The sequence below is a fragment of the Homo sapiens genome, chromosome 18 (assembly GCF_000001405.40).
Source record: "Homo sapiens chromosome 18, GRCh38.p14 Primary Assembly".
NCBI lineage: Eukaryota > Metazoa > Chordata > Mammalia > Primates > Hominidae > Homo > Homo sapiens.
The window spans coordinates 40,008,873-40,020,654 of NC_000018.10; the positions used below are offsets into that span (position 1 = coordinate 40,008,873).

Consider the following 11,782-nt stretch of genomic DNA (forward strand, 5'->3'; position numbering starts at 1 on the left):
ACAAAATGTTTACTCATAGCATAAGAATAACAAATGTCTACCAACAGATGAATGGGTAAATAAATTGTAATATATCTGTACAATGGGATACTATTCAGTAACAAAAAGAATTAACTGTTGATATACACTATGACAGAATTCAATCTGAAAATAATTGTAAGTGAAAGAAACCAGACAAGAAATAATATATATTGCTTAAAGCAAATTCCATAAAATTCTAGAGAATGCAAACTAATCTAAACTGAAAAAATGCAAATCAGTGACTCTCTTAGAGTGGAGGAGCAGAATGAAATAATTACAAATTATCACAAGAAAATGTTTGAGGGTGCTGAATGTGTTAATTGTTTTGGTTGTGGTGATGGTTTGAAATATGTATAATATGTTCAAAACTTACCAAATGGTATTTGCTAACCATGTATAGTTTAGTGTATGTCAATTATACCTCAATAAAGCTATGAAAAAATAATACACAAAGCAGCAGTTGTTATGGTGAGAGAACAAGCATACTTGAATTCCACAGTAGGATTTCTCCAAAGTGTTGATCACAGGGTTTAGGTTGGTGTTTATGAATTTTATATTGATGACAAATTGTATAGTTGTCTACTTTCTCAAGTACAGGCCAACAAATTGGAATATCGAAAGGATAAAGACAATAATTTTATACATTCACAGCTAAGGTTTTTAAAGGGTGATGTATATAAATCAGTAGCTTACAATAACAGGTACTAGATACTCTAATATCCAATCTAATGGAGCTGCTTTCCATTGAAGCTATGTCCAGGCTTGTAACAGAAGTAAAAAGACACTGTGGTGAAATGTGCTCTTAAAACACTTCACTTCTATTCTCATGTCGTTTGCCAAAACATATAACATTGTTGAATCTGATATCAAGCAGAAAGATAAGGGTAAATATAATGTCACAGGGTGGAACACCATAAGTCAAATGGAACAACTTCATGCCAACATGCAGAGATGTATATATACACACATCCACAGTGCATAGCAGAACATGTGTTTAAAACCAATCGTCTCTTTCAATAAAAGCTCTTTACTTACCCAACTTGAAGGGGGAAAAAAAAACACAACAGTTTTATCCAATCATAGCAACAGGTTCAAATCCAGGATCTTATGATGATTTCTACATCAAACTCAGATGTGGATCTTTTGACTCCAGAGATTTATGTCTCCAAAGTGAGATTATCCAGTCTCTTCAGATAGCAAATGCATTGTTGAGAAGAGGACATGATAACTGCAATACACATTCTCATTTGGAAAGTGAGGAGTGGAAAACACATTGTTATCACTGGTCTATAGTAATGCTGGGCAGAGTTATGAGGAAACTCTACCCTGGGCTTTGGGAGTATCCTTAAACAGCTGATATTACTCTCTGATAAACAGCTGCTCAATCCACAGTTCTTTGGGGATATGTCTTAGTGTTGGTTGAGAACCACTCTTACCTTGCAGCTTGCATTTAAAAAGTCAGGAGCCCAAGGGTCATTTTCAACCTCAAATATTTAGGATGCCTTTAAGTGATGGCTCTTTATAAAAACTCATTCTGTTTTGTTATTGTTGGTTGAGAATCTCTCTTACCTTGAGGCTTACATTTAAAAAGTCAGAGAGCCCCATGGTCATTCTCAACCTCAAGTATTCAGGGTGTCTCTCAGTAGTGACTCTTTTCAAAAACTTGTTTTGTTTCTTAACTTTTTGATTCTAGACAATTCTATTTACCAACATCACTCCTACCATTATTTTTGAGATATCCCTTTCTCTCTCTGCACTTAATTGTGTGTACTTTTGTTTTCCAAAGGCCTGTTTAGCTTGTTCTTGTTTTGGTGACACACTGCAGCAGCTTTCAATATTACAATATCCTGAAGTCTGGATGTTTTCCAGTCATTTTTTCTCTCCTTTCTACAATTTGCACACAGCCATGTTTTTTTAGATGGAATCTGATTCTGTTTCTCAGGCTGGAGTCCAGTGGCATGATTCTAGTGCACTGCAGCCTCAAACTCCTAGGCTCAAGCTATCCTTCTGCCTCAGCCTCCCAAGTAGCTGAGACTACAGGGATATGCTGCCGAACTCAGTTAATTATTTATTTATTTATTCATTTTTGTAAAGATGAGGGTCTTACTTTGTTACCCAGGCTAGTCTTCAACTCCTGGGTTCAAGCAGTCCTCCCACCTTGCCCTCTCTAATTACTGGAATTACAGGCATAAGCCACAGTGCCCAGCCCACAATCATTTTTGTTTATGTGTTTGTGTGTTTGTTAAATCACCTCTATATTTTAGTCATTTGTCAAATATAGCCCATTGCAACCAAAGCATGCTTATAAAATTCCAGTTTCCAGAGTTAACTTAGTTCAAATCCAAGTCCATTTGGTACATACCTTGTTGTCCAAGTTGTTGCAGGGGAGAATTCTATCAAAACTTTTACTGTTTCCTAACTACGTCTTCAGTAATTGTTTCCATTTCCATGCCTGTATTACTCTGTCTTGAAAGCAATGCCATATTTTTTAGGCTGTGTTGCAACACAGGAACATTCCTTTCCTGGTATCAATTTATGTAGCAGTAAGCATGGGCTAAGTTATGCCTCTATAGTCAACAGCTCCTAAATGCTCAGAAATCTACAATAACAAAAGTTTAGTTCTTGCTCTGTTTACATGCTCACTGTGGGTCAGAGGTGGCTGAGTTTCAAAAGGTCTTCACTCATTTGGCAAAGCTATCTCTGTGTATGACATTGCTAGGTTCACAACTGAGGGAAAAAATGAGTACAATGCAAAGCAGATGTTGTGGTATTTTTCTTATTTTTATTTTTTTATTATTTATTTATTTATTTATTTTGAGACAGAGTCTTGCTCTGTCGCCCAGGTTGGAGTGCAGTGGCGCGATCTCGGCTCACTGCAAGCTCCGCCTCCCGGGGTTCAGGACATTCTCCTGCCTCAGCCTCCCAAGTAGCTGGGACTACAGGCGCCCGCCACCACACCCGGCTAATTTTTTGTATTTTTAGTAGAGATGGAGTTTCATCGTGTTAGCCAGCATGGGCTCGATTTCCTGACCTCGTGATCCACCCCCCCCCCTTGGCCTCCCAAAGTGCTGGGATTACAGGGGTGAGCCACTGTGCCTGGCCTCTTATTTTTATTTTTTAATCTTACTATGCTTCCACTAAGAAGTGCTACAGGCCTCTTCAGTTTCCATTTCACTGACTGAAAGAGATCACAAAATTTAGCTCGACATCAATGAAAATGTACTCATCCTCCTATGAGAGTGTCAAATCTTTTTAACTATTACCCAATCTAAGGTATTATGGAAAGAGAGAGCACCACGTGATTGCAATGATAGTATATAAAATAAGCTAGGTTAAAAAAATGTAATGTAAACAGTGGAAGAGGTTTTAAGCCAAAATATGTGAGAACTACATTGGTCCCTAAAATCAGCAGGTGTTATATTAGGGCTGATAAGATAGAAAATATATGAGACTTTGATTAAAGGAAAAGATGATTCGAATTTTTGGAGAAAATGTTATCTGATTAAATCAATATTATAATATCACTTTTCTGGGATTTGGCATTCTAATATTTGACTTCTCACTATCATAGAAATTCTGGCACTTACAAAATGTCAATATGAGTGCAATTAACACATATTGGCATGCTGTTGTTTTTCCCTAGTGGTTTTCAGGAAGTCTTAGAGATCAATATAGACCACTGAATATCTATTTGAATAGATTGATAGATATTAATTATAAGACAACTGAAATTAGTGTATTGATTCGGTAGAATTTTTTTTATCTTTTAGGTAGATGTGGCATCCTGATTGGTTTGATTCTATTCACATCTCTAGAATAAGCTCAGTTTGAAAATTCTCTATTTCTTTCTCACTCATTTGCCAAACTCTTTTTCTAATAAAAGTAAAACATAAAGTTAATACATCATAAATAGCCCAATTACCAAATAAAAAACTGTAGAAATTTTCTTAGGATAAGAGGTTTTAATCTAATTTAGCAAGCATAATAGACGTTTCGTCTAAATTTGTACCACATTAAAGGTACAGGAAAGCAGCACTAGTTTAAAAAAATTAATCCACATATGTCAGAATAAAGTCAAAAAATAACTTTTTTCCCTCAAAAAAGAGAATTGAGAGGATGAATAAAGTAACTGAGAGGAATCAGCTGTATTTCATGACCAAGAAGGCTTCAATTGTGCTATTTATTAGTTTACACTGTGGCAGCTCTGCCCCCATTTAAAAGGACATAGAACTCATTGTGTAGCACCCCAGAAACATGAGAACACCAGGAAAAAGAGGCAGCCATCATCAAGAAAACAAACACTGAAATGAATTGCCATTTGTCACCTTTCTCACTGTTCTGTTGACCCAGAGTCCCCATCTACTCTGAGTGGTCTCATGCACAATTCTTAATAGGGTACAAAAGAAAAAAGCAATGCCTGCATTTTTAGAATGAGAGTCATCCTCCAAAGGTTGCCCCTTAAAAGTAAAGAATTGTAACTCTGTCATCTTTGTGGTCAAATTCCTTTTCCTCTTGGAAATAAAAGAATGTTCTTTGACTGTGATTTTCTTTCTTTCTCATCAGCCATGAGTGATGAAAGACAGATACCAACAAATGAAATTAGACTCTCTCTGACTATCCTCAGATCAGAAACTCTTGAGGTAAGTTACTTTGTCAATCATTTTCCCCCAATAGGACAGAGAGCATAAGGTTTGCATAATTGCTAGTAAGCTCCCACCCCAATACAATTAGGAGTATGAAACACCAGCTGATCAGCTATAGTGTGGACATGTTCTGTGGATCAGTGGAAAATGTTGGTAACACTGTCCACATGCTATGATCAATGCATTTATGTACTCCCTTTCAAGAAGGTGAAGACACGGGAAACTGCTGTCATGTTATCCTCTTCCAACAAAATAAAGGATGTTAAAAGGCCCCTCATAAGCCAAAACCTTTAACACCTGTGTAATTCATCCATCATATTCAGGTAACATTTTTGAATTCAAATTATTGGCAGATCATGAGAAGATGCATGCATGAATGAAATCATTATAGATACTTCTTTGATTCTACCAATTATGCTACAGTGCCCAATCTATAATGTAAGGAAGGACCCTATGGATTTAGAATATGCAGGTCGCAAATCCATTTCTACACCTGTTGTATGTTGGTTAAATACCCACAGGTTCTAAAGAGCATGGGAAGTGTTATCTTGAACAAGCAATCTCATCATATAGTACAACTAGTGAGATAGTGGGGTTTTTTTTCCCATTTTTTATTTTGCTTTGCTTTGTTTTTTAATTGACTATGGGTTGATGGAGCCACAACTTCTTTTTTTGCCGACCAATAGCCATTTCTGAGATTTCAGATTAGTTTAGAGGCCATTTTTATGAGCACAAGTTGTATTTAAGCTTAGAAATACATTTTGGTGAAAACTAAATATATTGCCTACACAATTAATTACAATAACCCACACTGATATCAAACCTAAGATTCAGAACTCATTTATGATATACTATAACCAAAACAACTTATGAGTCACAGGAATGCACAAAGAAGATCTGTCAATTGACACAATCATCATTAACATTAGTTTGACATTTTGCTTTAGGGGATTTTTTTTTCTTTCTCTTTTCTTTTCTTTTTATTTGTTCTTATGATTGAGGTAAATATCCCTACCCTCAAGTTAAATTGTATTTACTTAATGAATTAATTTGGTTGCGTTTCTTTTCTTTGACTAGTAACTAGCCAATTGTTTTACTACATTAACTAAATCAAACTTAGTTGCATAATTAGGTTTTATTAATATCTGACCCATACAGAATGTGGCATTATTAAAGGTTTGAAAAGTCCAAGAATCCTGAGATTGTATAGTAAAACGTTCCTGTGAAGAGGCAACTAGAGAAATAATTGAGACTCTCATTTTTCATATGAAAATACAGACTCAACACTACTGAATTCTCAGTAACGGAATATAAGTTTTAGTTTGTTTCCTTGTATTGATTCTGTTTTTAAAGTATGAGAAAGGGTTCGTGTTAAGCAATTCATTGTCTCTGACTAAGGAATCTGTCTGGATTTAGGAATTATTCTGTGTGTAGGGAAATGGAAAAACAATAAATGTGATTACCCAGGAACCAAACAGAAACTTAGACTCATAGCAGAGAATTGCCGATTAAAAATAGTAAAAAAGAAAAAAAAAGTATTAAGTAGCAAACCTATATCACCCTGATTATATTTCAGAGCAGTAATTCTAATGTAAACTCCTATGGAAGAAATACGTGCTAAAGGAGGCAATTAAACGGAGCCTTCTGCTAATTCTCAGAACATTTAATAAATATACATGATTTTCTTAATTTTAAGATTTTCTTCCATATTTCCCCCTTAAAGCATTACAGCTGGCTAGAACTAGTCCACTAACAATAGTTATTTGAATAAAAAAATAAGTTACAAATGAATATTGCAAGAAAAATGTAGAAAGCACTTGAACAACCTCTTCAACATCTTGTAATTCCCTCTCTTGGGGGAAATAGAAGTACCTACTTGAGATTATATAGTGTATTACTTCATATATAGGTATATGGATATTTCCCACAAGTAAATATACTTTCACATAGAATTATTGATTTTTAAAAATTATAATCAATACAAAGCAATACGATTTCAGGGTATACACATCCAAGTTTTTGAAAGTGTATTAGATTTCATACTATTTCATAATATTCGTATTAGAAATCATATTAGATTTATTCCAGCTTTCCAGGTGTTTAGATACCTAACACTTGTTTTCTAATCCCTATTTCTTCAAATGAGTGGTCCAGGGTAAAACAATCTGGGCATGTCTTTTTGAAAATGGTATTTTAATTAAAAGTACCACATATACAGATAGGCATAGTCACACAAGTTCTTCAAAAATAATAAAATTTTCAGGATCAAACTAGTAGAAATAGTATAGTCAAAATTATGATACATTTTGAACAATTATACTTACATTTTTTTCTCATTAGAATAACATACTCTGAGCAGTTGATTGGCCACCGAAAAACTGATTTCAAAGAGAAAAAGACAGAAAGAGAGTGAGAAAGAAAGAGAGCTATTTATAGGCATGGTTAATTTCTGTTGTCAATAAAATTTATCGCAATGATTCACAGTCATAGTCTATACTATTTTACTTTTAAGAAGAATTAATAGCACATATTAGTACAACTTTCATATATTATAGTTACAAAAATGTGAAAATATGTTATAATTACTCAAATATTACTTAAAGTAAGTAGACACTGGTCAGCATTTAAAATTTTTCTTCTTTTTCCTTATAATTCCAAATATCTTATTGTTATGACATTCATTGTTTAAATATATCCACACATGCATATATATATGTATATATATATATATACATATATATATATATTCACACACACATGTGTGTCTGTATTCAAGAATGTTAATTTCCCTTTTCTTCAAATGTCCAAAGGTGAAAATTAGACCCTTTCACTTTGCTTGGACAAATTGGCAGAAATTGATCTACACTGTAAGAAGCATATATCTTAAAATAAAAAAAAAATTAACTGGCTTGTCCAAACTATGTACTGGTCGAACAACAATTTAACTCAAAACTAGCTAGAAGCCCAAGGTCAATAAAGAAAGATCATTTTATGTTTTAATTGTTTGCTAAAAGTTTGATTTGGCAATTTTCAGTACACAATAGAAATAATAGAAAATGCTGACATGTCACTCTTCACTTATACTATTTAATACATAGCAAATTAGTTTGTGATAAGTATATTTTGTGATTATATTAGTAATATGTTTTTGAAACTTGTTTCTATAGCACAAAAACAGAGAAAAAATTAAAAGGATATGTAGTATGTAAGACACACATTTGCACATATATCACATACATGCTTATTCCCAGATAACCCTGAAGAACAAGGTTTTATACATTGATACACGTCATCTATGCATTTTTATCTTGACATGGAAAAAGACTGGGCCAAAGCTTTCAGAAATCAAATGTGAACTCATTTTGAAATAGCAGCAGTGTTTGAATTTTAAATTAACCTATTTACAATGAAACTATGCCTGCTGATTGCCATCATCTTCAGGAAAATTAACAGTAACGATCATTGGTGTCATAATGCAATTTCCCCGCAAAAATCACATAGGCTTCATTACTGTTTACATAAATTGTCATAAATACCAATTATGGTGGAACATAAAATGTAATGCTCTTTTTTTAATCATAATCAGACAATTGTTCTTCTAATTCATATGCTAGGGGAATAAGGTTATGATTCAACCTTTGTTGTGAAGGAAGTGTTTTGATGGTAGTTAGTTTTCCTCTAAGTGCTGGTTGGCTTCTTGTCAAATCATTCAACTCTCCGTTTGGATCATGTAGTCCTTGTTTCTGTTCACTGTGCTCTCTAATATACTAGGAAGAACATGGAGGCGTGCTAATGGCAGATGAGGGAGATATACACTGAAAGTGTCCTCTAGACGTCAGCGGAGAGGTGGCTTCCGGTGGGGTTTATAACAACATTTAGTATAATTACGTCGAAGCCCCCATAAAGGAATAATGCAATAACAGACCTGTTAGAGAAGCACATTTGCAGTACCAATTCCAGCTTCCACCATAGGTCAGCAGAACAAATAGCTGGTAAAGGCAATGCCCTGTTAAATGGCTAATTTTCAAAACAAATAAGTTGCTGGCAGGGGAATGGAGGAAAAGGCCAGAAAGAAGAGATTCAGTATTTTTACCATTTTGGTCTCTAAGAAGGAGATAAATCAGCTAGAAAGGTTACTCAGACAGAAAGTCAGAGCAAAGGACAATACTCTCTGAGGACAAAAGCCCTTCCTTTGCTTTCTGTAACATGCCACACAAAGCCAAGAATCACACCGTTTGGGTCCTGTTTTATCGCATCATAACACTCTTTGTACTTGTTCTTCTTTGGCCTTTGTTCTTGACTTATTTACTCCTAAAACTTAAAAACAAAGTCTGCATAAATTTCCCACTCTTCTGATTCAGAACAGTCTTGAAACATTAAAATCAGAAGAAAATCACTCCCCTGATTCTTTGAACCGTGGTGTCCATGCATAATGGTGGCCACATGCAATTATATGTGTCTAGGAGCTATGGTGGGTTTGATCTGCAGGCCCTCTCCACACTTCCAGATTGGGCATTGCTATCTTAATGAACCCTGGCAATTTGTCCTCGTTCTACCTAATTCTATCCTATTTGATTAAAGCAAGCGGTAATGATAAGTCCAGTTAAGTTTAATGAAACAAAATTAGGACTCTTGATCTAAGAAGAAAATAATAAAACTGGCAGGGATTTCATCTGTGGGAGAAATCAAAGTAGAATAAACAGAAATGTAGTAAAATTAGCTGCTGTTTTTTCATTGTGTAAGCTAGGGTAATGCTAAAGGTAAACAAATGGCATCAGCAGGGAGGAGAAAATGAGACTTTTACTTTTTTCCGTCTTTCATAATCTCATGCATTATCGGTAACAGGGTGAGACGTTTTAATAGGGTGTGATCATCATTAAAAGGCAGATATTTATCTTATCACAGTGCATTAAACTCCCAGAAGGAAGTGGGAAAAAAGGGAGAGTGAATGACTCTCATGAACTATTTAATGAAACACTAAGGTTGCAGCTTTTCTTGTTTGTCTTTAAAAAACGAAACAAACTGATATTGGACAAAACTGGTTCCAAACACACCCAGGCTGTACCCGGCGCCTGTGCATTTTGAGAAGTCTCTTCTGTGTTCTGACTTTGTTTAATAATTTCTAATTATGTTCTACAACCCAAAATTAAATATTTCTATCTCCATTGTGTGTACTTATTCATGAGCTGGGCATTAATCGTAAAACAATGTATCTTGTTATTTATTTATACCAGATGTGAGTATTTATGTTGCTCTGTTCAGGGTTTCCAGCTAGGTCTTTATTTGTATACTGAGCCGCCTGTTTTTGCATGAAAATGGTTTCTGAGCTCTGGAGTTCATCTCCACTCTTGTGTTTAAAACAACAACAACAACAACTTTTTTTAAGAGAGAGAATTTATGAATAACTAAGAGATTTCTGCTGTGGCTCCCCGGGTCTCTCATCAGCAGGGCAGCCAGAATATGTTTTGGGGACCAAGAAAATTCAATTTGGGATTTGTTTCACAGTTTACAATGCTGGTTTCTTGCAAACAAAATCTGCCTGGGCCATGGAGAGCTTTGCTTCTGAAATATATTTGCATAGTGTTAATTTTCTACTTATTTATTAACTTTTAAAAATGTATGAGTTTGTTTGGGTGGTGGAGGGTGGAAGTGATGCCAATATATCTTTCTGTGTCTGCCTCCATGAAATCTAACTTAGTCAATGGCTATAAGAACCCACTGATAGATATTTTCTTAAAGGATATTTTATGTTTGCCATTTTATTAGCATAATTGGCATATAGTAAACTTAACCTGGGAGTAAAAATTTTCCTTCTATGCTGTCTGTTTTCCTCCTAATTCTCCTCCTAGAGAAACTAGTTTTATCAATTACCATGTGTTCTTTAATAGAAATTTTATGTCCATAAGCACACAAACATACAGACACACACAAACAGAGAGACACATATATATCCCCTTTTAAGGCAAATTTCAGTATACTGTCCTGCACTTTATTTTTTATTTGATATTTTATCTTGGGATTGTTCCATATCAAGTTATAGAGCATGTTCTCATTATTTTTTACAGCTGTATAGCATATCACTATATGGATATAAGTAAAGTATTTAATAAAAGACTGTATTTTATTTCTCATCTTAAATCAGTTGAACGTAGCACAGTTATTGCCTCGTAAGACCTTTCCAGTAAGTATTTGCAGATCTACACAGAAGGAGCAACTGGTTAGTGCGCAATGATCTAATGGCATGGTTCTTTGTCAGTGTGAGTTGGTGAACAGATAAACATGACTTGTTCTTAAGTACTGTGCTTAAGAGTAAAGGATGACTGATTTAACTATTTTCAACATGGAGTAATATATTAGTCTCTAAAGAGTATTTACTCCCATAGCATAGGTAACTGCAAAACTGGGTAAAGCACCTACATTTTTTGCTATAAGGCAGAAGCTCCACAACAGGGAGCCCACTGAATGACTATAGCCTGCAGGCATGTTTTGTTTTGATCAATTAAAATGTCTTTGAAGTAGCTGACACCATTAGCTAATTTAGAAATTTAACATAAAAAAACATATCTATAGCTGTAGCTTTTGTTGAAAAGCCTGACAATCTAGCAGGAGTTGGCCTGCCTTTCTTCATAGCAACAGCTTCTGGGACTGAGTAGCACTGCCATCTTTAGACAAGAACATGAGTGTCAGGATTCTCCCAGATCTGCCTTGGCCAGTTTAGCTCATTACCTGCCTTGATCCAGTAGGCATTTAAGTTTCCCATAGCTGGGCTCACGTATAAAAATCCACACACCCTCATGAGATGGAGCAGAGAGTCCCTTTTTGGGGTCTGCATGCCCCCGACTTTCCCAGGCATGGAAATAAAATAAAATTTTGAGTTTCTTCAAGGGAAACTAGCCCTGAGAAGTAAATAAATAACTTGTGATGCAAGAAAGTAATAGCCTAAAACAATAGCCAAGGAGTAAGGTACAGAGATGTTTGGTTTTCCTATTGAAACTAAAGATAATAGCTTAACATATGTCTCTGAGTTATCTTTCCAAAACTGGATTTCCCCGCGAAGGACCCCCACCAAATATATCCAGATATGCTGTTACACAGACCTCAGATAAGGAGGAATTGAA

At 35.0% G+C, this 11,782-nt stretch overlaps 1 annotated feature.

The window, feature by feature from the left end:
* Window positions 10,756-11,496: an enhancer, noted in NCBI's record as "NANOG hESC enhancer chr18:37599592-37600332 (GRCh37/hg19 assembly coordinates)". NCBI's record gives its function as "activates a minimal SCP1, AML or CMV promoter by ChIP-STARR-seq in primed H9 embryonic stem cells {active_cell/tissue: H9 hESC(primed)}" and the evidence as "EXISTENCE:reporter gene assay evidence [ECO:0000049][PMID:30033119]".